This window comes from Homo sapiens, chromosome 1 (genome assembly GCF_000001405.40).
Source record: "Homo sapiens chromosome 1, GRCh38.p14 Primary Assembly".
NCBI lineage: Eukaryota > Metazoa > Chordata > Mammalia > Primates > Hominidae > Homo > Homo sapiens.
Window position 1 is genome coordinate 169,884,009 of NC_000001.11, and position 27,929 is coordinate 169,911,937.

At 40.9% G+C, this 27,929-nt stretch overlaps 1 protein-coding gene across 8 annotated transcripts in view, besides 6 other annotated features; it reads right to left on the bottom strand.

Moving 5' to 3' along the window:
- The window catches only part of SCYL3 (SCY1 like pseudokinase 3), a 44,638-nt gene extending 34,378 nt beyond the window's left edge, over positions 1–10,260 (bottom strand). For 3 of the 8 annotated variants that reach the window (NM_020423.7, NM_181093.4, XM_047425909.1), the window contains exons 1-2: positions 9,780–9,888; positions 4,668–4,882 (exon numbers count right to left, since the gene is read on the bottom strand). In NM_020423.7, coding sequence (NP_065156.5) covers positions 4,668–4,832 — 165 coding nt within the window. In that variant the 5' untranslated portion in view covers positions 4,833–4,882; positions 9,780–9,888. Of the gene's footprint in view, positions 1–4,641; positions 4,883–9,467; positions 9,889–9,998 lie in introns of those variants that run through there. The other 5 variants (XM_017001863.2, XM_011509801.2, XM_017001862.2 and 2 more) reach the window with 3 other exon arrangements.
- Positions 9,056–9,643: an enhancer, noted in NCBI's record as "H3K27ac hESC enhancer chr1:169862205-169862792 (GRCh37/hg19 assembly coordinates)". NCBI's record gives its function as "activates a minimal SCP1, AML or CMV promoter by ChIP-STARR-seq in primed H9 embryonic stem cells {active_cell/tissue: H9 hESC(primed)}" and the evidence as "EXISTENCE:reporter gene assay evidence [ECO:0000049][PMID:30033119]".
- Positions 9,326–9,385: a silencer, noted in NCBI's record as "silent region_1547". NCBI's record gives its function as "represses an Ori minimal core promoter by ATAC-STARR-seq in GM12878 lymphoblastoid cells {active_cell/tissue: GM12878}" and the evidence as "EXISTENCE:reporter gene assay evidence [ECO:0000049][PMID:35858748]".
- Positions 9,626–9,705: a silencer, noted in NCBI's record as "silent region_1548". NCBI's record gives its function as "represses an Ori minimal core promoter by ATAC-STARR-seq in GM12878 lymphoblastoid cells {active_cell/tissue: GM12878}" and the evidence as "EXISTENCE:reporter gene assay evidence [ECO:0000049][PMID:35858748]".
- Positions 9,626–10,315: a biological region, named in NCBI's record as "H3K27ac hESC enhancer GRCh37_chr1:169862793-169863380".
- Positions 9,644–10,231: an enhancer, noted in NCBI's record as "H3K27ac hESC enhancer chr1:169862793-169863380 (GRCh37/hg19 assembly coordinates)". NCBI's record gives its function as "activates a minimal SCP1, AML or CMV promoter by ChIP-STARR-seq in naive and primed H9 embryonic stem cells {active_cell/tissue: H9 hESC(naive and primed)}" and the evidence as "EXISTENCE:reporter gene assay evidence [ECO:0000049][PMID:30033119]".
- Positions 9,906–10,315: an enhancer, noted in NCBI's record as "active region_2081". NCBI's record gives its function as "activates an Ori minimal core promoter by ATAC-STARR-seq in GM12878 lymphoblastoid cells {active_cell/tissue: GM12878}" and the evidence as "EXISTENCE:reporter gene assay evidence [ECO:0000049][PMID:35858748]".

A 27,929-nucleotide genomic window follows, 5' to 3' on the forward strand; every position in this document is an offset into this window, starting at 1 on the left:
TGTGCCCAGCCTCCAATTTCTTTTATTTTCTTATAATAATCTCAAATTTTGCCAACTCTGGGAATAGCTCCAATAGGGTTTATTTATTTATTCTTAGGAAGAAAGTTGTTACCCTCGAGTTAATTCAATAAAAAATAATTAAGAAAATATTGAAGAAAAAATTTCTTTAACTAGCAATTACAAACTAATAAATACAGCAAAGATCCAGATAAACCAAAAATTGTGTTAGCAGGTTGGTTAAATGAGTGCAGTTAACTGGGAATAATTTTTTACAAGTGTTTTTTTATTTCGTTTTGTTTTGTTTTTGAGACAGAGTGTCGCTCTTGTTACCCAGGCTGGAGTGCAATGGCGTGTTCTCAGCTCACTGCAACCTTCGCCTCCCAGGTTCAAATGATTCGTCTGCCTCAACCTCTCGAATAGCTGGGATTACAGGCGCCCACCACCATGCCTGGCTAATTTTTGTGTTTTTAGTAGAGATGGGGTTTCACCATGTTGGCCAGGCTGGTCTCAAACTCCTGACCTCAGGTGATCCACCTACCTCGGCCTCCCAAAGTGCTGGACTTATAGGCATGAGCCACCTTGCCTGGCCTACAGGTGTGTTTTGAGCTACGGTTTCTGTATAAAATTATGTAGCCTCCCTCATATTTTCATTTAAGAATCATTTCAAATAATTTTCAAACCAAATCTTTCATGTTCTCTTCTGCTTATTGTTTTACTCTACAATGCCTAGAAATTTTCTTGATGCAAAGTGAGTACTTGTTTGTTTAATAAAGAAGGAGAAGAAGAAATGACTCATTACATGTTTCTGAACAAGGCACTTAACTTAGCAAGAACCTTATTTCTCACTCTCCTTTGGTACATTTAATATTAAGCATAAATTATGCACACAGATTCACAGGAAAGGCTAGCAGTTCAGAATCAAATAGGACATTTTTTGATTCAAGCCTCTGCTGCTCTAAAGAATAGCAACAAGACATACTTGCTAAGGGTAACTAGGATATTTTTCAATGAACATCAGTTGAGCAAATAAATGGCTCTTGCCCTAGTAGAGAAAGATGACTATTTTTGAATGAGTGTCTTGAAAGCACTTTCCCCAAAGTTATTGAATACCTATTACATCCCATTTACTGTCCTAGGTGATGGTCTCTGAAAGAGGGTTCTGAGTAAGGACCTTTATTGTTAAATATGAATAGTATTATATAATTTATCAATGATGATATTTTTCTACACCCAAACAGGGATCTTAAGTATGAGATTCTTTCCCTAAATATAAATGATTCCCCTTTATCAGGAATCAGTTATGATTCAGCTATCCAGAGAATTCATTCAAGCCTCAGAGGCTTAACTTTTTATTGTTGTTCTGCCTCTGATTCGCTATTTCACTTTGAGAACTATGCAAAGTTAACTGACTCAGCATTACAGCCCAAATCCACCTGCAGGCTTTTAGATGAGACAAAGCCATAATTTCACGCTGTTAAATATGTTAAGTAAACAAAATAACCAAGATGCCTAAACTAGAGAACAAAGATCTTCAGGGAAAAATATTATTCCTTTTTCTCTGAAGATGTAAATCTAAGACAAAATGCAGATGCTTTTTTTTTTGTAAATGTCCACTATCTGAAGGTTAGATCATAAACTAACAATAAAATGCAGAAAGAGAAAGGAATAAAAATTCCATTCTGTAGAGCTTGCATTTGAGGTACTGATAAAACTTTTAGGTGGAAATGTTCAATAGGTAAGTGAAAATATAGATCTGGAGCTCAGACTAGAGATTTTGGCAGATAATTAGTTTAGAATGGCAGGTTGGATGGTTATTAACATCCAAGGAAAAAGGAGAGCGTGAAGTCTGCAAGGTGTGGTGGGGAGCAAGTAGCTGGCCATTCCATCTGGTGGGTCCATCATACCTGAGGCATGGGGGATACTTCTGAAGTTCTTCTGAGTGGATAGTGCCCAGAAGCCACGTAAGAGCACTGGATTCTGATTATGAAGGGCAAAAAATAATTTCTTAAAAAGTCAACCATGGGCCAGGTACGGTGGCTCATGCCTGTAATCCCAGCACTTTGAGAGGCTGAGGAAGGCGGATCACGAGGTCGAGAGGTAGAGGCTATCCTGGCCAACATGGTGAAACCCCACCTCTACTAAAAATTCAAAAATGAGCTGGGTGTGTCGGCGCGTGCCTGTAATCCCAGCTACGTGGGATGCTGAGGCAGGAGAATCACTTCAACCCGGGAGGCAGAGGTTGCAGTGAGCCAAGATCGAACCACTGCACTCTAGCCTGGGAAACAGAGTGAGACTACATCTCAAAAAAAAAAGTCAGTATGAGAGAGGAGAACAGCTTTCTCCAATTAGAATGCAAGCTCTTTTGGGCATAGCCATCATCTCTTCCATTTCTTGTTATGCCCACACAATGTGCATTCTTAAATAACATTGACTAACCCTTCCACAACAGCCCAAATTCATTATGGGGAAGAGCATAATGACTCCAACAATACTAAATAGAGCACTTATATAGCATCTACATACCACTCTTAGAGTCCAATGTGATTCCTGGCATAAAGACACTCAAGAATCATTTTTATAAGCTTTAATAAGCTTACCACAAAGCCCTAACTAAACACTTAGATTACAGCAAACTACAGCAACCAAATTCGGGCTTAGAATTTATCACTGTTTATAGGCTTACATATATGAGTCATCATCATCAGTTAGCAAATTATACTGTTAATTATAGCTGATGAATTCAATGTAAAATGAGATGGTCAGATAGAACTAAGTATTTCTCACATTATTTTGTGGCCAGAGCTTATACCTGCATTTCATCTTGGTGTATACTAGGATTGTTGTTTTTTACTTGTAACAGTGAAGAAAGTGTATATTGTTATCCAGTAACAGAAAACACTATATATCTGCTTGAAATAATCGTTAAAACTACCAAAGGTGTGACCAACAACCCAAACTCTAGAGAAAGTGAGGCAAGCTAAATATATTGTTTTAGTATTTCAGATACCTAGGACATCAAATTCCTAAAATCTAGCACATCGAATGCCATACATTTCTCAAGTGCTATGACCTAGTTTTTTAAGATTATGAGAAACATTCTGAGAATCTAAAGTTATCACTTTGTTGCAATTTCAAATTTCCCAAATTCATATATGAGGTTTTCAAAGCCACAGAATGGCTTAACAAGAGACAAAGATGAACTATGTGCAAAGACTCAGACATGGCTTAAAAGGGTATCTATGAATATTAAGGGGGAATAAGTCTTCCCTCTCAAGCTTCGCAATTCCTTCAGCACAGAAGTCCTCAAAAATGGAGAGTGGTCTTGCTGTTTTTTCCTTTAAAAACTCGATCTAGGTTATTCAATTTTCTTGGTACGTGCACCATAAAGTGTAACACAATTTTAAAAAAATCTTATAAAGAAAAAAATACTAAGAAAGATAAGTCTCTAGTACCTCGCCGATAATAGTTTATTAAAAAAAATGCACAATCTTATTAGATGAAAATAACAGGAGGCATGTTAGACATTAACTGTAAGAACAAGAAAGCGAAGTAAGGCATTTTGTCTTTTGTAAAATCACAATAAAAAATTCTTAACAATACCTAGATGATGTAAAAAAAGAGTCAAAAATGTGGTTCTACCAAAAAGCAAAATTACCTAGCAAGAAAACAGCCAGCTATATACTTTTTACCACCACGCATCTCGAGAGAACTGTTACCCATCTTTTTCTTTAGGAACCATCTTATAACAATTTCATGCTTGATCAAAAATACAACATCAAATAAATTACTGTTGTGAAGACCAAAATTCCATTACTAATATAATCCTTTATAATCATTTTAAAAAAATAAAAACAATTTAGAGTCCTATGAAACAGACATCAATGTTCCATACCTGTTGATAACTAAGGGACTCAAGGTAATAGAGATTATAATTCTAACAAAATCAAGATATCAAGTTCAACTTGAAAATAGCATGCCTACCAGAATAAACACTGGAGAATTAATTTACTAATACAATTACATTTTCCATTTTAGAAGATGATATATCTGAATTCCTAAATTTCCAAAGTGCTAGCTATCCAAAGAAGCATCAACTAATGCCTTCATTTTCCCTAATTCAAAAAGACACTTGGGGTTATTTTATTGACTTACATTCCACAGTAAAATCATTTTTTCTGATAAGAGGCCAGGATCTCCTGAGTGTGTCAGACAGCATGCTAATGCACTGGCACCCTCTGCCTGGAGCAACAATTATAAGGCATGAACTACAAGGATCTTTTCCCTAAGGAGGAAGCTGAAGCCTCCAGAATGATGTCAATACTTAACTGCATTTTGCTAGACGAGATTAACTCCTTATATAGCTCCTTATATCTTATATTAGCTACATAAAAATGTCTCCCTAACTTTCTCACCAGAAAAATAAAATATGATGATAAAAGCCATTGTACTGAGTTTTATGATGTTTTTTGGCTACAGGTATGGTACCTGACCATGTCATGCAAATGGAAGATAGGCCCATGAAGTAAGAGCAATGTTTTGAAAGGACATAAATAAAATACTGGTCCTTATGATCTTACCTCCTTTGAACTTTACTAATTTCATATTTTTTTAAAAGAAAACAAGATAGTAAAAAGTACTAACTATTAAGTCGTCACCTATTATGGTACCTTGGCAGCTTTATTAACCTTGTCTTCATTTTCTCTCTTATACACAAAAACTGAAGCAAATTTGCCATCTTGCAGTACAGCGGGATAAACAGCAAGTCCAGAGGGTAAGGTAAATGGTGGTTCTCTCAGTGTATAGCTCTTTAAAGCACTGTTCTCTGATCCCATCCCTTATGCAGTGAGGCAGTACTGCCACTCTTCCTCAAAGCCAAGCAGATCTAAAAGAAAACAGAAAACAATTTCAAACATTAAATCCCTATCTGCAACATCAACAAGAGATATCCAGACATAGCCACCCCAAACTACTAGTTTCTTTGATCCTCATAACTAGGACATTTGACAGTAAAAATGGTAAACGCTCTGCAAGTTACCAGCAATGGTTGTTAATTAACAACTAACAGCTCTAGAGAAAATGCACATTACTAAATAGTCACAGGTAGTTACTGTCCCTCCCCAAACTCCACCACATACAAACTTTCAGAGTGGAAAGGCAATCAAAAATAGAATAAGGTAATTCATACTTCCTAACTCACTTGTATATCCTCACTCACAAAGGAAAATGTTGTAAAAATATTACTCAAAAACAATAAAACTTCTGTATGTAGAAAATAACTTAAAATTATAAAGGAAAACAATACAAATTGGAGAATACTTATAATGAGGAAAATCATGGTTTTAATATTAATATGTTGAAAAACATTGTTAATATGATGAAAAACATATTAACAAATGAAGAGCTCATATAAACCAAGTAAAACACTAAAACACCAGTACAATAATGGGAAAGAAAACAGACAACTCATTGAAGAAACACAAATGACGATAAACATAAGAAAAAGTACGATCGCACTACTCTTCAAAGCTATCCTAAGTAAAAAGGGGAAACCGCAAAACTGAATCTCAAATAATCTCAATTGCTAAAAAAAAACAAAAGCCCACACATACACAGAATTCAAATGCAACTATGACAAAATACTTCAGTGCTCACCTAGTGAAGGGGCACAGTTAGAGGGATCAAGGGAGAGGAAAGGATTATCATGATGTATGAGGAACTTTTGGGAGGATGGATATATTCATTATCTTGATGATGATGATGGTAACGGGTGATTATGTCAAAACATAAAACTGTACACTTTTTTCATTTATTCTGTATCAATTACGCCTCAAAGTTGTTTTGAAAAGAAATATATGTATACATACACACAGACTTGAAAAATATATGTTGAAGTATTAACAGAGGTTTCCAGTGGAAGGTCAGATTATAGGTAATTTTATACACACACACTTGCCTGCACCTTCCAAATCTTCTACAATATGAACAGCTTTCTTGACAACAGGGATACAAACTCACAGGGTGACAACAGGTAATGTGCAGTGCCCCAGCAGTACTGGCAGCCTGGCAGAGGGACCTACTGTGCGTGCATGGGACCTACTGTGAGAGGCTTGCATTCTGAAGACAGTGGCTATCACAGAGTTCCAACCAGGACTGCAGTTTCAGAACTGTCAGATCATGCCACTTATCGTGAGGAACCAAGAGCCTGAATAGTTTTGTGGAAATCTCCATATTTTTCAATGTTGAATCAAATGTTTTCTAAACCTATATAGGCCAAACAACGTATGTCTGAAAAATCTGTGGCAGTCAGTTTTCAGTGGTGGCTTTACCATAATATAAAAATTAGAAAATAGAGTTCTTACTAACTCTGGCAATGTAGAAAGCAAACTGCTACAAATACGGCCAATAATTCTATGTAGGCCTTTAAAAATTTGTTTAAAATCTGTATTCTTTGGACAAATATAAACTCAATAATCATTACACATTGACCCTCTACTTGGAATTTTTCCCCACTTCGGTGAAATTCCATACAACACCTTCTACACTGGGTATGTAATGCTGCTCAAAACACATGCCTAGAACAAAATTTAAAGTGCCTACCGATCCACAACCATCGTTATATAAGAAACACATGTATAAAGGCTAAAGCTATCTAAAATTGAAGATTTTCAAAATCTAAAAATGTTGCTGAGAATAAGAACTAAATCTGCTTTGTAACAAATTCACTGAATTCCTACCTACCTGGCAATGTATCTTTCTTAAAAATGACAGAGAAGCAAAAAACAGTACTAAAAGAAATGCCAAGTATGGCAACTATGGTAACATTCACCTTTCTACTGGGACTACAAATAAAAAGTTTATGTGGGACCATGGGTAAAAGCAACAATGCTAATCCCTCTGTTCTGGAGATAGAGTGCTGGCCAGATTGTCACAACCTCCTGCTGAGTAGGGAGGATTATGCTTAGCACTTGATCTTGCCACCTCTTCTTGGGCACAGTTAATGTTGGCAGGTACCTATCCTGGGCCAAAGGGCGGTTAATTCACAAATTAGCCATCAATTTCATGGCCTGAGTGAAGAGATAAACTGGCCAGATCATTGTCTCCCCCAGGAATTTGAACTAAGAACAATTTTTGCCTATTAGAAGCATAGCCGAAGGTAGAAGGATGCTATGAGGTGGAGGTGGAGCTACGGCAAACCAAAGCCACATGAAGTCAGAAACTTTCCAGAGGAAGTCAGTTGGTAGTAAAATTTTAAAAAGCAAACACTGGGACCGTAGCTTAGTCATACTTAGGGGGCACATTACTACTATCCATCTCAAGACTACCGGAAGCCCAGCCTCAAATCTAATTCCACCCAGATACCCTAACATCCCATTGACACCCTTACAACCAGCCCCCTTTTCCTCAGGTAACTTGAATGGGTCTATGTTCTTTGAAACTAATTGCCATTTCATAGGCAGAAAGCTCTACTTGGTCTCCAACTCCTGCCTGAAAAGCCAGTCAGACTGGAAGAGTGAGTTACAGAAGTGTTACTTTGAAAGTATCTGAAGCTAGTCTGACCGTCTCTCTCTCACCCACAAAACACAGCTTTCCAAAATCAACACACAATTAAGAGAAAAGCAGAGAATAAGGGACTGTATATTAATGAATATCTTCTTCGCAGGAAATCATGCTGTTTATTTAAGTGTTAATATTAATCCTCATGGGAGATAAGACTGCCACCAGGATTCAGGGTCAGTGCTCTGGCTGATGAATGGCAGTCACCAGAGGCAAGAGAAAGGAACATTTAATTTACTTAGCTATTTCTAAATAGCAAAATACTTCCTTGTGGGAACATTGGCCTTGCAATAGCTATTAACCTTAGATTTCATATGAATTCCACTATAATTAACAAAGTTATAAAAGCATTAGGAAGTAGTTAAAATTCATTTTTCTTACTGTATTTTAGGTCTAAGACTAAAAAAATCACTTAAAAATTAAAAAGGGATGACTCAATTTCTTGAGAGAACTGGAAAGGATGCCATTTTCTTGTTTTGAAAGCATGTTAACTTTGACAGAAGTCCACTGATACCATCAGTGTAATACTGACAGTGGTAAGATTATATTGTATGTTCCCAGTGCAAACTTTATTGGGGGAAAATTAAAAAGGTGTGCTGATTATTGCAATTTGAGAATGTTTTGAAGCAGTAATTCTTCACACTAATATATCTAAAGAAGCACAAATACTGTTATATGAAGAAGTTTTTTTGTTTGTTTTTTGTTTTAAATAGAGATATGGTCTTGTTCTGTTGCTGCTGGCCTAGAGTGCATTGGCGCTATCCTATCTCACTGTAACCTGGAATTCCTGGGCTCAAGCTACCTGCCCTCCCCAGCCTCCCTAGTTGCTGAGATTACAGGCATGTGCCACCATGCCCGCCAGTGCTTTAAAAATGATAATTCAGCTAAAATTGATTTATTGAAATGTAAGAAAAACACTTGGCCTTCCAAAATGCTTTCCTGTTGTTTTGAGGACGGGGAAAACACAAAATCTTGCTCATTAGCTTTGAAATTAAAAAGTCACAAGAAGGTAGAAAAGGATATCCTAGTATCCCGTAATAGGTATTTCGTAGCACTTAGCATCTCCACTCTATAATAAAATGCTGAGTTGACAGTCTCTGACTTGAATATGCATCAGTCTTCCCTTTAATAATCTCCCTCCACTCTTTTGCCTACTTGGGCAGCACATAAAATTTCTGGACCGCTTGTAGATTAAGAAAACCCTTGTCTAGGTCAAAGGGCAACTCATACACTCAACTAAGAAACCCGTGTGCTCTATGGAAATGTTTCTACCAAATATTTTCTTTTCCCAGCAATTACTCGAGACTACCTTGGTCCTAGCTCCCTTAGCTTGAAAGTTCCAAAGATAATGGCTTGCACTCTGAGTATTAAGGATGCACTGTACTGGCTGATATTCTGGTATCCAGCGGTAACGTTACTCCGGCCCTTGCTTTCGTGTTTCAGGTATATATTCCCTCTGCGGAACTCAGTCCAGCATTGCTAGCTGACAAGCAATACACAATTAAGTCTTTATGGACCAAAATAATTGTGATTTCAGCTCAAGATACATTTTATAAGAACATGGGTCCCTAAAAACAGCAGTTAACAGTGACCCCCAAAATTCGAGACCCGACTCCGAGAATTTCACATGGATTCCTGAATATGCTCTTCCGAGAAATGTTTCATCTTTATTCTAAACAGAAAGCACTATGCCAAGACAGGAGCCAGCTGGGCCTTGGGGGACGGGCACTGGTCTTGGATCAAGAATGAGGCCGCCTTCCCGAGGGCGGGCGCGCCCCCAGGATCCCCCCGGGCTCGGGCACTGCCGCCCCGGGACAGTGACCCGCCCAGCCGAGCACCCTCGCCCTGCTTGCCGCGACCCCGCGGGGTCACTGAAGGGCCGAGGCGCCGCTCTCGCTTCGCTGGCCCCTCACCTTCCACACCTCCCTGCGAGGACCGACTCCGCGGCCGCCTTGGAGAGCTCTGGCCGCGGGCGCCTCACCCGTCGGGGGCCGCCCGCGAAGCGCAGATTACAGGGCGCCCCACAATCAGCAAGGGGAGGCTGCTCCGAAGCTGAGAGCACAGCTCAACCGGCCGCCGGCGCCGCGCCGAGCTCGCTCCCGCGCGGGCCCCAGAGCGCAGACCCGCGAGCGGGGCGCGCGCCCGCCGCCTCCTCCCCGCCCGGCCCCTTCCCCCACGGCGCAGTCCTGCAAGGACTGGGGGCGCAGCGCAGGGCTCCCTGTTACCTGCAGGAAGGCGGCGGGGGAGGAGGCCGAGGGTCTTGGCTCTGGTACCCTGTTGGCCCCCCTGTTGACACCAACCACCCCTGCCTGCCTGTAAGGCTGTGGCCACTACACCCACAATCTTCTGGGGGCCGGGTTTCTCCTACACCATAGAGACGGGTCCGGAAACGGGACAGAAGGCCCACCTTCCTCCCTCCGACGCCACCAATGAGGCCAACTAACCAGGAACCGAGGTAGAGAGGCCGCACAGCTGAGTCTCAGGCCGGTGCCATCTTAAGTGTGGGCGCCGCGACGATACCGAGTTTCACTCACTGCCCCAGTGGTCTAGTTAGTCCACGAAGATGCCCCCTTTCTAGATGTGTTGGTCGAATGCTTAAGTTTGTCTTGACTTGAATTTTTAGGCTTTTAACAGCACAGTTTTAATTTCATTTCCGCCCAAATCCAAAATGGCTGCTGGCCACTTGTAGCAAACAGTAGAGGTGCAGGGCGGAGAAAAGGAGTACGGGAATTAGCGAGGACTTTCAGGAGAGTGACGTCACTCAACCTGTAGCTTTGATTGGCTGGGCTGCGAGGGTGGAGTCGTGCAGAGCCGCTGCTGGCGGAGGTCGTGGTGATCTCGCTTGATCTTTGAGAGGGAAGGTCCTGAATCACATTTCATTTAGCAAAAAGTAATATTTGAAAATTTTAATATTAATGCAGTAGTTTTGCCCCCCTCCATGCTTTCTGCAGTGTCAGTTACCTGTGGTCAAACCTTGGTTCAGAAATGTTAAATGGAAAACTCCAGAAATAAACAATTCTTAAGTTTCAAACCGCCTGTATTCTGAGTAGCCCGATTAAATCTCGGGCCATCCACTCTGTCCCACCCTTGACGCGAATCATCTGTCGCAGGTAGCCGCGCTGTGTACAGTATCCACTCATTACCCACTCAGTAGCTGCTTTGGTTAACAGATGCACCCGTAGTATAGCAGAGATAATGAGAGATACCACCTGCTTATGTTCAGGTAACCCTTATTTTACTTAATAATGGCCGCAAAGCACAGGAATTGTGCTGACAATTTGGATATGCCGAGGAGAAGCTGTAAAGTGCTTCCTTTAAATGAAAAGGTGAAAGCTCTGGACTTAATAAGGAAAGAAAAAGAGTCATATGCTGAGGTTGCCAAAATCTATGATAAGAACAAATTATCCATGAAATTGTGAAGAAGGAAAAAGATTCGTGCTAGTTAACTAAGCACCTATCATGCACTGTGGCTGTAACTTTTGTAGTTTGAGGTGCAACAGCAAAAGACGGAAAAGGCATTACATTTGTGGGTGGGAGACATGAACAGAAAACGTATTTCAGCTGACCGCAGTAAGTTTTGCCAGAAAGTGTTGAGCCTATAGGAAGACTTAAGAAAGGGATCCCCTGAAATTAGGCACACCAAGCTATTTACTGCAAGTAAGGGATGGCTACACAGATTCAGGAATAGGTTTGGACTGAAAAACATAAAAATAACTGGAGAGGCCACATCTGCTGATGAAGAAGCTGCCACATGTCTGGCAGAGTTGAAGACATTGGTTAAGGAGAAAGGCTTCCAGGAGATTGATGGATAAGTTAGGAAAATCATTCAGGTAGCAATGAAACTGCCTTTGCAAAATTATGACTAAGGCAGTTAAAGAGATCCAATTTAACCAACTCCATCTTGTCCTTAACCTCCATGCTATCCTTGTTCATTCCTGGGCATAGGCTGAACTAACTTTGGAAGGAAATTAGTTTATAATTTACAGTTTAAAACAAAAACAATAAAAGCCCTTTCCCAAAACCAACCTCCTTCTTGCCTGGGGTCTAGACTACCAACATTAGCCACAAGATTAGAAATTATGGTTTGGGAGTCATGCAGCTGGAGGCCACAAGATTCTGACCCTCCCTAAACTGCTCCTGAGATCAGTGCTTCAGATGTTTTGCAGACCCTGCACTTGATGGATCAGCTGGCAACACCCAGATGATAAACTGGCCCATCTGATCTTGTGACCCCCACCCAGAACTGACTCAGTTCAAGAAGACAGTGATGCCCCATAGTTTCATCTCCGACCCAACCAATCAGCACTCCCTGACTTACTGCCCCTCCCCACCCACCAAATTGTCTTTAAAAACTCGACTGCTGGAGGAGACTGATTTGAGTAATAATAAAACTCTGGCCCCCCACACAGCCAGCTCTGCATGAATTCTTTGTCTATTGCAATTCCCCGTCTTGATAAATTGGCTCTATCTAGGCAGACGGCAAGGTGAACCTACTGGGCGGTTATAGCAAGACAAGTTGGTGAAAAAGGATTTGTCAATATGCTTGATGAAGAGGTGGGAGAACATATCAAAGGCCTCACTATCCATTCTGAGGACAGGTTTAACCTTCTCAAACTAGAAGCAGGGCTTAGTCACCCTGGACAGTCTCTAGTTCTGTGCCTCCTCCCACTTCCTCTATGTGGTCAGTCCAGACATCTGCCTTGTATGACCGCCTCTGGTGACCACCTCCCTATCGAACCATCAGGTACAAGCTGCTTGCTTCATCCCCTTGACCCCTATACCCCACATATACTTTGCAGATATGCCTCAGTGACCACCTCTTAGTCACAGTGGGACTAAGATGTTGGACCCAGGACCACAGTGAAGGCTTTGGCCCGCAAGTCCCTCTCTCTGTCTCGTCCCCCTCCCACTGGTTGAGCATGTGTGTCCCCCTTCTCATTGGCCCTGTGAGGCATGCTGTCCTCTTATTATGGATCTGTAAGTAATGAAACTGCTTCTATTATTTCACATGTTTTGTTCACCTCCTCTGTGTCTCACCTGACCTATACACCCACACCTGACTTGTTTCCTGGTTAGGGCTCTCCTAGAGAGTGGCTGTCTTGGTTGGAATAAACCAGACACGGGGCAGACAAGAGCCACAAATGTGCCTGCTAATATAAACAAGCTTCCTGTGAGAGGGACCTCCTGTCATGGGTCAGACACCTAGGATTTAGGCCGTCTGCCAGGATAAAGAAGTATTCCATGGAAGGCACACTGTAAATATCCAAGCCCCATCACGGAAGAGCTAACGTTTATAACCACTCCCAGAGAGAGACCTCGAGACCGAATTAGAAAAGAAATACAACACATAGACCCTAGGTTTACTAGCTCCAACATCCATTCCCACTCCTCACCCCCTTCTCCCTTGTTCACCTTCGATAAAGAAGTTAAGAAATCAAAAAGATCACTTTCTGAGCCTACTTTCCCGCTAGGGTGGTCACAAGTTCTGGCCGGTGAGACATAGCAGAAGTTGGGAGGAAGATAGACAGTGGATTAGGAAAGGTTTTTCCTCCCTATTAAAGGAAATGGCTGTGGGTGTAACAGCAGCAGCCACCCAAGCACCAGGAGACAGCGGGAGAACATGCTGAGGATGTCGATTTGAAAGACAGAAGGATTCTCTTGCCTTTCACACTATCCCTCGAGAGTTCATAACTATGTTTTTCCTCCTTTTACAGGAGGAGTAGAGATGAGTCCCTTCAACCAGTACGTGAAATCTTCTGCAGTCAACACAGCTACTTGCTGGCCCACCCTCTTCCCAGTGTCCTCACCTCTGAGTCTTTGCTGGCCTTCCCACCCTGTTCCTTGCTCCCTAATCTTATGTCCAGATGTGCTGAGCTCCAGGGTATCCTCTATAATCATTCATCAGCCTAGAGGACTCTGTATTTCCTTTCATTTCCCCAAGGTAAACCCACTCCTCCAAATATCAATGAGAAGGGAATATTTTGCAGTGAATGGAGTAGGAGAGAGATGGGAGGGAGTTTGACACTCAGTCCTTCCCCTCTTCACTCTTCATCTACTCACCTATTTGCTCTTGATGTCACTCAGGTCTCTGAACAAATGTCACCTGTTCAGACTCTTAAAGATTTGGGGCATTGAAATCACAGGCTAACTTGTATATTTTTGTCCAACAAAGATGCAAATCTTTCTGTCCAGTGGAAAAGTTAACCCCAAAGTTTATTCTTATTGCACTAGAGAGCATTTCTCATTTTAAAATCTAATCTAGTAATCTTACTGTATTTCTTTATAAAATTGCTTGTAAGTATGTAGCTACACAAATGCTCTTTGAACAGTCTTAATGTCTTTTTAGTTTCCTCATTAACTAATGTGTTCATTTTATATTTGCATGAGAGTTATAATTATATTTTGAAAATTCTACTTGAATGCAATTTATCAGAGACAGCTCCCCTGAAAACACTGTCTAAAACAGCACCTTACCTGCCTCTTCCTGTCTTTTGACTTTGCCTTATTTTGCTTAACACCAATGCACATATTTGTTCAGCATCTCTGTCCCACAGCTAGAACATCAGCTCCCTGAAAACAGGGCTTCCTTCCTTCATTTCTTTCTTTCCTGCCATATTTCTAGCACATAACACAGTGCCTAGAACATACTAGGTACTCAGTAAATATTAAACACACAAATGAATTTACTGAGAGCACACTGCATGTCCCAGGCACCCTCCCTACATCTCTCTGCCTCCCAGCCCTTACCCCACAGAGCCCTCTATAGCTCTGGTTCCAGTTCTCAGTTCCCTGGAGCTGCTCTCTGAGCTCCTTCTGCCTTTCTTATGCATAGAAATCTTGTATTCCCTCACTGATTCCTCAGTCCTCATTTTAAATATGTCTAAGGCCAGGAAAGAAAAGAATCTCCAACAACCTGAATCCGCTGTCCTTGGAATGTGGCTGGTGGGACAGTTAGAAACAAATAGTTTGTTTTCTTAATAGAAATAATTTTTTCTTGTCATACTGTTTAAGGATCAACCTGAATTTTACTTCCAACCAATCCTCTTCTTAATTCAAATCAAAACATGTCAATGGTATTCAGCTTGACTTTTAGGTGTTTTTTTAATTAATCTTTTTCATGTTTCTAACTTAGATTCCCAAGTAGACTATAAGTATCTTGGATATATTCCTGGTTCTATAAAAGCCTTAGCCATCCAACTTAATTATTTTTTTCCAACTTGATTTGAACTAACTTTTTTACAAGCTCTACCTGAAAACCAAAGAGAGTAAAAGTTATTCAAGTGATTTCTATTTAATGTTCTACCTCAATAATTTGTGTAATTGCATAATTGCAATTAGAATCTGGAAGTGTAAAGGGGGAAACTTGCATGAATGACAAACCCTCCTTCAGGCACATTTCAGATAAATACATATAGCATCCATAAGTAGTGGATACCTTATAGAAAACTGAACTGGACCTAAGCCACTTTGTTCTCTCGTTGTTTTTAGGAACTTTGCATAGATATTGGAAGATTTCTCTAATGAGAAGTATGTGTTTTCTAAGTTCCACCATAACCTTGCTACCACTACAAAGAGAGAATGAAAGCAAGTCTGAGGTGGGATTCTACACATTCACACGTTTATTAGCAAGGTTTAAAGACAGGCAGTAGAGCTGTTATACAAACTCAGTGAGGTTCCACTTCCTTGTGTAGGAGCTTGAATAGCATCTTGCATGAAAGGTCCATCCACTGCAGGAAGATGGGACAGTATTCTAATAGCAGACTCAGCTATCCTCATTAGAGCTGGGTGACAAAATCTTCTTGTAATCTTCTCCATATGGGGCTGGTCTGAAATCCTAAATCTAGGGCACCTTTCCAAAGTGTGTAGATTGCTAGACTCACTAGATTCTCATACTCTGATCATGTAAGGCATGGCAACATTTCTATTCATTCTGTCCATCTTGAAATTACTTATTTTGGCCATGAAAATTCACTTTTAAACATCCTTAAAGCCACTAGTATTGATCTGAGTTAGAGATAGCTGAAGTGTTTGTAGTATCTGCCCCAGGAGTATAGACTTCTCATTGAAATCTTTCAGATGCTAAAAGCCTCTGAAGTGTGAATTGCTTCTCAACTTCAAAGAGCCATGAATCATCTTGGAATCATACTCCTGGGAGAAAGATTTGGGGCAAACAATGTGTGCATTATATATCTACCTCTTCTTTGAAATACTTCAGCCTTCAGGGAGATACAGATGTGTACTAACTTAGATCTATCCTGTAGGGGTGGTTAATTAATATTTGAAGGCAACATGAGCATCCTCTGGAAGCATGTTAAAAATGCAAAAGCTGAGGCCTCACGCTAGATTGTCGAGTCAGAATCTACATTTTAACAGGATCTTTAGGTGATTTGCAGGCACCTTCCTTGCAGGAAGGTTTGAGAACTGCCCTAAATGATCTAAGGCCTCCCTCCTTTGGCCTCACTGCTATCCTCCTGCTCACTAACTCTGGTCCATGCTCAGTGGCCTCCTTGCTGTCCTGTCAGCATGCCAGGTGAGCTCTTGCCTTAGGACTTTTGCTCTAGCGCTTCCTTTTCCTGTCATTCTCTTTTCCCACATGTCCATTTGACTAAGTCTGTTACTTCTATTTTTTGTTCAGATCTCGTCTTCTCAATGAAGTCTGTCCTGATCCACCCTATCTAATTCTACAACGTTTACCTTCCTTCCTGCTACACTCCTGGTGCTTCCTATCCTGTTTTCTTTTGCTTTTTCCCTCCATAGCACTGACCGTCTTATAAACAGCCATATACTGTATTTTCTAGATTGTAAAAACTATAGTTTTTCACATTTTAACATCCCTGAAGGTCAGAATGCATTTTACCACAAATGGCATAATATAATTTGTCAATAATTTTTTCTTAGTGGTACCAAATATATTGATGCTTCCTAAATGTGATGGCATCATATATTTGATGAAATATGACAATTTGCTTATGTATTATGGCTTTTGGTTTTGAGAGAAAACAATTATCTGAAACTTTAAAATAGGCAAAAGAGGTTACTGTGGCTTTCTTCCCATGCAATTCTGGATTAAATTCCTATTGACTAGGTTATTTTACTACTTCTTTATTACCTTTTTAGGGGCAGAGGCTAACTTTTTCATTTTCATCCACTAGAGATGTAAATAAGTTTGTCCAGCACAGCAAATCATCTTAATGGTTACAGTTTATTGTCCTGTAAGTTATTAACCCAGCAACCTGAACCTGACATGTCTTTATCAAATTGCCTACATATACACCTATCTTCTCAGCTGCTATTTGGACTAGTTTAAAATCTTACTGATTCCCTCATTAATAAAAACATTAAATAGAGTCTTTGACATGTGTTCATTTTATATTTGCCTGAGAAACCTCATTGTACTTTTTTAAAAAAATTACATTTTAATGGTTTATTTCTCCCCTGCTAGAATGTTAAGTTTCACAAGGGAAAAAAATCTGTTTTTGTTCAATGATCTGCCATAAATGCTTAGAACAATGCTTGGAACATTATAGATGCTCAACAATTATTTACTGATGAATGAATGAATGGAAGTATAGAAAAATATATACTAGTCTGTTAACATTCACCATGTAAGGTAGGGAGAGGTTACTTTCTTTATATACCTTTTTATATATCTGCATATTGTTTTATGTGTTACAGTGAGCCTACATTGTTTTTGTTTATTTGTTTAAGAGACAGAGTCCAGGCTCTGTCACCCAGGGTGAAGTACAATGGTGCAATCATAGCTCATTATAACTTTGAACTCTTGGCCTCAAGCAGTCCTCCCATCCCAGCCCCTCAAGCAGCAAGGATTACAGGCATGTGCCACCACATCCAGATACATTTTTTAAATTATTTTTTGTAGAGACAGGGTTTTGCTGTGTTGCCCAGGCTGGTCTTGAACACCTTGCCTCCTGCTTCAACTTCCCAAAGTGCCGGGATTACATGCATGTATTTTTGTAATTTTAAAGATAATTTAATAAAGAGATGAGGAACTGAATGTAAAGTTGTATAAAGGAGGAAAAATAATCGTTCCTTTTCCCCCTCTTAATTTCATTGTCTGGGGCCCCTATAACAAAGATTGAGAAGAGTAAAACAAACAGAAGTTTATTCATGTGTATTTCATATACACATAGGAGATACTCAAAGAGGTGGCTTAGAACTCAGGCATATATGGCATCTTCAACAAAGAAGAATAAACTCTTAGAGAAATAAGACAGAAGAAAGGATGGCAAACCATGGTAAGGCAAATAAATGGAAGTTTTTAATGTAGGTTCTTCTAGTGTTGACAGAAGCTGCCTTTAGTGATCAAACTTTGTGTTTCCTAGTGGAGAGGGGAGAAGGAATACTTTTGTAAATTTATATCTTGTTTTGAGGGAAGTAGGAGTAGGATAGAGAACTTTTTAAAAATATCTGCTCCTTCTCAATTGCCTTCAGCTGAAAATAATCCTTATGCCAAGGAGGCATATTTTGGGCATATTCTAGTCTCCTACACTTAAATTGGAAGCTTTTGAGTCTTACATCTATAAAACAGTGCCCGTAGCCTGTAATTCCTCATATGATAACAATCTTGAGGGTCTTGTGATAGTAGCTCCAAAGCATTGGTAGGAAACAGGAGGGGATACGGCATGGTCACATTTCCTGATAAGGTATAGATGGCAGTTAACTTTACAAATTTATGCCAAGAAACAGTAACTTATGATCTTTAGCTAGTTTCTCAGTCCTCTCCAAAGCTGTGCTTCCAGCTCAGGACAACATAAAAACCATTTGCTCTGTTTCCTTAAAAAAAAAAAAAAATTCCCTGTTGCTCACTGTACTATTCCAAGTCTTTCTCAGGGCTGCCATCTCTCCTGAGTCTCTCCCCTCCTCCCTGCAAACAAACACCCACCCCAGTCTCAGTTCTACCTCAAGGAAGAAGCAGCTAGATCGGGGAACTTACTGCTTATGGGACAAAGGGATTCAGTGCAATGTCTGTTCCATCATCAGCAAGTATATTAAAAATGAGTAAAACAAATCCCAGTGATTTTAGACCTCCTCTGAAAACTTTTGCCCTCAATTTTGATACTAGTTTCTTAAAAAATTATTTTCCTCTTTTCTCACAGCAATTGTTTTCTCACCAATCTTTTGAATTTTTTCATTTACTTTTTTTCCTAACTTTGCCTCTCACTGTATGGAATCTAAATGGAGTTCATTAGGAATGAATTTATTGATCCAGTGACATTAGCAGCAGTAAAAGCCACTACGGTGTGTACAACCAAGTGGCAAAGACACGTGTGTTCCCAAAACACAAGGAATAGCACCACTGCTATCTTCTCACCATTTTTGATAAGAGAGGTGCGGAGGAAGAGGAAGGGCTTATTTGTCTTTTTTATCTTCTGCAAGAAATAGGAAACCAAGAAACAGCTAAAGGAAATCCGGTAGTGATGTGCTGAAATCAGAGTAGCCCTAAACCAAGTGTGTAAACACGGCATTTTAATAATAGGAATTCAGACCAAGAAGGGTAATTAGGAATTACATGAAAATGTGATTACACTAATAAAGTTATTTTAGAGAGAAAAACTAAAACAGAAATTGGTACCACAAAATTAACTCTCCAGACAAAGGTTGGGCCAGGTGTGCATTTGGTTAGGTCTCAGAGGGGAGCTCAATTCAGGGCACTCTTTCTGCTCCCCGTGATAGTAGACAGTGAAGTCACTTGTCTGCTGGGTAGATGTGTGCATTTGGAGCTTTGCTGTGTCTTCATTTTGAGTACTTTTATTGCCGCCTAAAAAATGCCTGGACCAATGAATGGCTGAACAAAATGTATTCCAAACAATGGAATATTATTTGGCCATTGGAAGGGATAAAGTTTTCATACGTGTGACAACATGGATGCTGTGAAAACATCATGTTAAGTGGAAGAATCCAGGCACAAAAAGCCACACATTGTTTGAGTGCATTTATATGAAATGTCCAGGTTAGATAAATCCACACAGAAAGAAAGCAGATACATGGTTGCTAGGGGCTGGGGGTAAGGAGGAATGGGGGCATGACTGCTAATGGGTAGGAGGTTTCCTTTTGGAGTGATGAAAGCATTCTGGGAACTGGATAATGGTGATGGTTGTGCAACCTTTAGAATATACTAAAATCCACTAAATTATATTTTTAAAGTACATTTTAAATGTAAATTTTAAAAAGGTACTTTTATGGTATCTGTATTATTTCTCAATTAAAAAAAAAGACCATGCTATGTGTATTAGTCCATTCTTGCTCAGCTATAAAAACATACCTGAGACTAGGTAATTTATAAACAAAGGAAGTTTAATTGGCTTATGGTTCCGTGGGTTGTACAGGCTTCTGCTTCTGGGGAGGCCTCAGGTGACTTAAAATGATGGCAGAAGGTGAAGGGGAAGCAAGCACATCTTACATGTCAGAAGCAGGAGGAAAAGAGTGAAAGGGGAGACCCTACAGACTTTTAAACAGCCAGATCTCATGAGAACTCTGTCACGAGACAGCACTAGGGGGATGGCGCTACATCATTACAAACCACCTCCATGATCCAGTCACCTCCCACTAGGTCCCACCTCCAACACTGAGGGTCATACTTCAACATGAGATTTGGGTGGGGACACAGAGCCAAACCATATCACTGTGTACGAGCATGTACACAGGTACACATGAAGGGAGATGAATATCACATTCATCAAGTCATTAACAGTTGAAACAAAGTGGAACTCTATCAACAGCATGTGCCTTATAACATATTCTGTGTTATTAAAAGTCAAATTTGAGAAAACTAAAAATTGAGGATACTCATAAAGACATTAGAAATGTTAAAAAATAAAAACAAGTAGCTAGACTTGGTAATTTCAGTGAGAAATGATTGATAGGCCCTGATGTGGTTTGGCTCTGTGTCCCCACCCAAATCGCCTGTCAAATTCTAATTCCCAGTGTTGGGGGAGGGACCTGGTGGGAGGTGACTGGATCATAGGGGTGGATTTCCCCTGTGTTCTCCTGGTGATACTGAGTTCTCATAAGATCTGGTTGTTTAAAAGTGTGTGTGTAGCACCTACCCCTGCTCTCTTTCTTTCCTGCTCCATCATGTGAAGAAGGTGCTTGCTTCCCCTTCGCCCTTCCACCATGACTTTAAGTTTCCTGAGGATGCCCCAGCCATGCTTGCTATACAGCCTGTGGAACTGTGAATCAATTAAACCTCTTTTCTTCATAAATTACCCTGTCTCAGGTTGTTCTTTCTAGCAATGTGGGAATGGACTAACACAGGCTCAGCGTCCCTTTCTTAACTATTTCACTCCATTTCTGGAGTTTGTATGAACCCTCCAAACTTGTGTGGTTCTCCTTTTCAAAATCACCAAATTAAAACTGATGCCTTTGCAGAGAGTAGCAGGTGGTTGCCAGAAGCTGTGGGGTGGGGGAAATTGGGAGATGCTGGACAAAGGGTATAGACTTTCAGTTTAAGATGACTAAGCTCTGGGGATCTAACATACAACACACTGATTACACTTACTAATACTGCATTGTATACTTGACATTTGGAGACAGTGGATTTTAAGTGGCTTCCCCCTTCCTCACCCCACATACACACAAATAGTAACTAATTGTGGTGATGATAATCTTTTTTTTTTTTTTTTTTTTTTTAAAGACAAAGCCTCACTCTGTCACCTGGACTGCAGTGCTGTGGTGCAATCAGGACTCGCAGCAGCCTCAACCTCCCAGATTCAAGCGATCCTCCCAACTCAGCACCCCTCACGTTCTCCCCACCCCCAACTAGCTGGGACTACAGGCATGCACCACCATGCCCAGCCAATTTTTTCTAGAATTTTAGTAGAGATGAGATCTCTCTTTGCTGCCCAGGCTGGTCTTGAACTCCTGGGCTCAAGTGATCCCCCCACCTCGGCCTCCCAAAGTGCTAGGATTACAGCTGTGAGCCACCGTGCCTGGCTATGATAATCATTTCACAATGTATCCATCTATCAAGTCATCACAGTGTACACCTTGAATACATACAATTTTTAATCTGTCCATTATATCTCAATAAAGCTGGAACACAACAATAAGATTCCTTCAGCCCAGGACTGGAAATAAAGAAGCTCTTAGAATGGTGATCATTAAAAAGTCAAGAAACAACAGGTGCTGGAGAGGATGTGGAGAAATAGGAACAGTTTTACACCGTTGGTGGGACTGCAAACTAGTTCAACCATTGTGGAAGACAGTGTGGCGATTCCTCAAGGATCTAGAACTAGAAATACCATTTGACCCAGCCATCCCATTACTGGGTATATACCCAAAGGATTATAAATCATTCTACAATAAAGACACATGCACACATATGTTTATTGAAGCACTATTCACAATAGCAAAGACTTGGAACCAACCCAAATGTCCAACAATGATAGACTGGATTAAGAAAATGTGGCACATATACACCATGGAATACTATGCAGCCATAAAAAAGGATGAGATCATGTCCTTTGTAGGGACATGGAGGAAGCTGGAAACCATCATTCTGAGCAAACTATCGCAAGGACAGAAAACCAAACACTGCATGTTCTCACTCACAGGTGGGAATTGAACAATGAGAACACTTGGACACAGGAAGGGGAACATTACACACCGGGGCCTGTTGTGGGGTGAGAGGAGGTGGGAGGGATAGCATTAGAGATATACCTAATGTAAATGACGAGTTGATGGGTGCAGCACACCAACATGGCACATGTATACATATGTAATGAACTTGCATGTTGTGCACATGTACCCTAGAACTTAAAGTATAATAAAAAATAAAAATAACAAACATTTTTAAAAGAATAAAAAGTATTTCTGCTTCTGGTAAAAAAAAAATAAAAGAAAAAAGAAAAAACCCTGACAGTTAAGCTAACCAAAAGGTGATGTTTCCTTGACTCACCCTCCTGGAGTCTAAGCCTTAGTGGGCAGCTCCATGTCCCACCTGGTGCAAGCTGTAATAGATATAATCTGAGGGGTTCAGCTTCATATTCATGTACTAGTGCAGTGCTGATTACACAGCAGACTTGAAACAGTAGTAAATTGTAGAGAAGAAGGAAAAAGAGCTGAACCTGTAAGAACTCACTCATCATTTCTGTCTCATTCTATTGGTAGAAGTGAGATACAAGGGAAGCCCAGTTTCAAAAAGTGAGGAAATAGAGTCCATCTTTTGATGAGAGGAGCTGGAGAATACCATGGTCACCTTTTTTAGTTACATATCTCCTTCTGCCACAGTTATTTACATCCCATCCACAAGCAAAATATGCTTACCTCCTCTGCCAAAAACCTCCTATCGTTATGGCATTAGGCTCTGGTTTAAAGTGTAGGATCTCATCATCAAAATCACATCCAGGCATGGATGAGGCTCTTTGGGAGTGGTGTTCAGGTTCTCTTCTAGTATGGCTCTTCTTGATCTAGAACCTGTGGACTGAAAGAAGGTACCTGCCATCTTGAACTCTCCACCCTTACCCAACATGCAACAGTGAGATGGACACAATAACCACAAAGGATACTCCCATGGAAACAGAGATGTGTAGTCATCTTGGGTTCATAGAAAATCTGAAATGGTGCCAGGAACATGTGCCAGTTCCCTTTACTCTAGGGCCAGGGAATGTTCCTTAGAGCTCATTTTTACTTCCTTTGAATAGTTTCATATTATACAATGGTGCTATAATTGTACAAGAGGTAATCCTGTAATAAATTCCATATGCTATATCACTCATAGTGGTTCTGTTTTTCTGATCAAACTCTGACTGATACAAGCCCAATTAAAAAGAGGTGCCCCCATTAGTCTCAGAATTTTCTTTAGTGGCATTACTTACTGGATTCTGGATCTTAGATCTGTGGATGATCCCTATCAGGTCAGGAAAGCTTCAGGAGCCACCAGTGGGATTTTGATGTAAGGGATTCCAGGGGATACAAACAAATTTATGCCCTTAGAAAAACAACCACTTTTGGTCCAGTTGGAGCTACTTGAGTTGGAAGGTCTTATGGGTCTGGTGCCTACATCGTAGCAACAAAGCTTCTAACTATATTTTGAAACAGATTAAACTGCGAACAGTCCAGAGTGATGGCTCAGATCTGGAGCGAATTAAAATATCAATCGTACTTTAAGGAAGGGGCCAAAATATTACACTCACAAGAAGGCGGCATGGCAGACACTGGGCCTCCACTATTCTGAAGGATGGCTGTGTCAACTGAGATCAAAGGGGAACCTGTGATAAGAGGAAAATACCCTGGTAGGATTTACAGTGGAAACACAAAGACTACTAGTGCGTCACGGATAGCAATGCCACCATAACCTGAAATAAAGTTAAATGCTAGGCTCTGCCTTCCCACCTACATGCCCTCAGAAAAGAAGGACCAAGCAAATTGGCACAATATATTTAGCTCCAGGTAGTTTCAATGCAGACAGTACAAGAAGCCAGGTGATTGGTGGGCTGCGGCTGATGGGCTGACTATATGGTCACATAGATGGAAACAAAATGCCTCGATAATTAGTGTAAACCCAGCTTGGGAAAAGTAACTATAGAAAGCCCTGCTGATGTATGTAGATACCAACTTGATGAGGGAGAGGTTTATAAATATATGAAATAGATGCTCTAACTTGAACCACAAGCCTATAAAAAGGAAAACTGGGACAATAGGGGTTATTTCCATCTCTGAATCCAATAGATTAGGGAATTAAATGAAGAATATAAAGAGGGTACTCCAACCACTTGGAGAGAATCTGAGGCACTTCCATACTGCATCAAGTGATGGTACACAACCAGATGCAGAAGAGGAAAATTACTTTTCAGAAAGGCTTGTGGGGTCCCTAATTGCATTCAGTTTTTCTTCTCCTTCCTCTAGCTGATGGGACTCAATGGATATATTCCCAAGGCAAAGAAGAAGCATTGCTAGGAGTTTTCCCTCCAATGAGGAAATGAGCTTGTCTGATAGGAGAGGATAGCTATTTAGGCTAGAATAAATACCTTCTATTAGTGTCAAACACTTATTTTGCAGGACTAGAGGCCTGATTACTCAGAGAGAGACTTGCATTAAAGAAATGGAAGTAGTACAGCTAGGTGTGGTGGTACGCACCTGTAGTCCCAGCTACTTTGGGAGGGTGAGGCAGGAGAATCGCTTGAACCCAGGAGGCGGAGCTTGCAGTGAGCCAAGATTGCGCCACTGCACTCCAGCTTGGGTGACAGAGGGAGACTTCATCTCAAAAAAAAAAAAAAAAAAAAAGCAAAAACAAAAAAACAAAAAGGAAGTAGTGGTGAAGGCAGAAACAGAAATAGGTAACTAAGAGACCAGATGACTCACATCTGGTGATGAACAAGCTAAGAAAAAAAGGCCTAAGATATAATGGACTAAAGTTATATTTACCCTTTGGTGACAATTTTGGCTACACTGTTACACTATATACACTATACTTTTAATTGTATTAGGGATGATGACAATATTTATGACCAGTTGTGCAACTCAACAGCCATTAGTGATTACCACTACGGCAGCTGGTTTTGTGTGTACTATATTGTGTGCTTGTAGGTACTCAGGATGGTAGCTTTTGCTGTTGCTACTTTTAGGTCAACCAATGTATCTGATGTGGAAGCAGAACCCCTGTGTCCTGTTGCCTGAACTACAAACAGTAATTGTAGTTACATTATAACATCAGCATCTGCCACATCTGCTGGAACAAATAATACAGATGTAGTATCTACTGGCACAAGAATTTCATGCTCACAACATCCTTGCTCTCCCATATAACCTGGACAGGAACCTATAACTAAGGAACCTATACCTAAACTATAAACAAGCACACAGCCATTTCAAGAAGTTTCATGTGGGAATTCCTGTGTATTTACTGGTTTCAGATACTGAAGATATACCTACCAGTTAATTTCCTATGAACTAGCAATTCTCAACCCTGGTTGCACATTAAAATCACCTGGCAGAATTTTTTTTGAAATAATTAAAAAAAATTTTTTATATGTCCAGGGCTGACTTTCAATACATTTCAGCGAGAGAGTTGCTCTGCTACATAGGAAACCCCAAACCCCGACCCAGAAGCAGGTCGTCTCTGAGTGATTCAGCGCCAGGTTCCCTACGAACGTGCCTTGTATGAAGGGCGTGGGGGTGGCTGCCTTTTCGGCTGCACCCCATTTCCCAGGACTAGGGGCTCTCTGCACCCGACCCGGTCCCGGTGCACGGCCGGGCAGCCCGTCGGGACCTGGCAGAACTTTTAAACCACGTGATGCATGTGTTCCATCCCCAAAGATGATTTAATTGGTTTGAGTTGGATATATATATTTTTAAAGCTCCCCAGATGATTCCATAAAATGCATACTAGTATAAACAACAGGGCCCATACTGCGAACTAGCGCAGTGGTTCTCAAAGTGTGGTCCTTGACCGGAGCCAGCAGCAGCCCCTGGGAACTTGTTAGAAATGCAAGTGGCTCACGCCTGTAATCCCAGCACTTTGGGAGGCCGAGGTGGGTGGATCTTCTGAGGACAGGAGTTCCAGACCAGCCTGGCCAACATTGTGAAACCCCGTCTCTACTAAAAAAATGCAAAAATTAGCCGGGTGTGGTGGTGGTGGGCCTGTAATCCCAGCTACTCAGGAGGCTGAGGCAGGAGAATCACTTGAACCCGGGAGGCAGAGGTTGCAGTGAGCTGAGATCATACCACTGCACTCCAGCCTGGGCAACAAGAGTGAAACTCCGTCTCAAAAAAAAAAAAAGCAAGTTTTTGAGCCCCATCTCAGACCTGCTGAATCACAAACAATTCCAGTCTGGCCCAGCAAGCCCACCCGGTGATTCTCATTTAAGGTAATGTTTGAGAACCGCTCAACTTGTGAAACAAGTTGCTGGTGTTTGAGCAAGCATCATTTTATTTCTACTAATGCACGAGAAAGACAATTATCCCCAACATGAGCTGGGACAGAACTCTGTGGTCTTATGTGATTATTTGCACTTCTTGAGAATAAATCAGTTTTCCTGAAAATAATGTTTGCTAGACTTCCATGAGAATGAAGTTTTCTTCTGGAGAGCTAAAATTAGCCACACAGACGTTTGTCCTGATAATACTTAAGTAGAAATTCTTCTCTTCCACCCCTGCCCCTGCCTGCGCCCCCCAACCCCTCTCACCTCAAGAAATGATTCATGGTAGGGGCTTCTGGCTGTGAGACTAGGAAGCTAGGGAATATTTGCCCATGTAGTTACCATTTTCAATGCTCTTCATTATTTGGTGTAGATCCATAGTTCATCTGGTATCATTTTTTTCTGCCTGAAAGACTTTAACATTTATATTGTGTGGGTCTGCTGGTGAAGAATTCTTTCTGCTTTTGTACCTCTGAAAATATCATTTTTTTCACTTTCATTTTTGGAAGATATTTTCACTGGGTGTATTAGGGCTTTCCACAGAAACAGAACCAGAAGGATATACAGGCGTTCCTTGTCATAAGTTGAGGAACGTCCTGAATATATATTGTTTTCCCACCATCACAAAGTAAAAAATCATAAAGGGATCCATCGTAAGTCAGGGACCATCTATATAGACAGGTATAGCTAGATAGGAGTAGATTTATTATGAGAATTGGCTTACAAGATTATGGAGACTGAGAAGTCCCAAAATATGCCATCTGCAAGCTGGAGAACCAGGAAAGCTGGTGGTGTCATTCATTCTGAGTCCAAAAGCCTAAGAACCGGGGGAGTCAATGGTGTATCTCAGTATGAGGAGAGCTGCTGGTATAAATCCCACAGTGCAGTGGCCTGAGAACCAGGAGCTCTGATGTCTGAAGGTAGAAGATAGACACCCTACCTCAAAAAGAAAGCTTTCTTCACCTTTTTGCTCTATTCAGGCCCTCAATGAATTAAATAATACCCACCCACCCTGGTAAGGGCAGATTTTTTTTTTTTTTTTTAAGAGATGGAATCTCACTCTGTCACCAGGCTGGAGTGCAGAGGCGCGATCTTGGCTCACTGCAACCTCTGCCCCCTGGGGTTCAAATGATTCTCCTGTCTCAGCCTCCCAAGTAGCTGGGACTAGAGGCATGCGCCACCATGCCCAGCTGATTCTTGTATTTTTTGTAGAGACGGGGTTTCAGCATGTTGGCCAGGATAGTCTCGATCTCTTGACCTTGTGATCCTCCTGCCTCAGCGTCCCAAAGTGCTGGGATTACAGGTGTGAGCCACCATGCCTGGGCTTTTTTTCTTATTTTTTGAGACAGTGTCTCACTCTTTTACACAGGCTGGAGTGCAGTGGTGCAATCATAGCTCGTTGCAGCCCTGAACTAACTGGGCTCAAGTGATCCTCCTGCCTTGCTTCTTGAGTAGCTAAGGCTACATGTGCACACCACCATGCCCAGGTAATTTTTT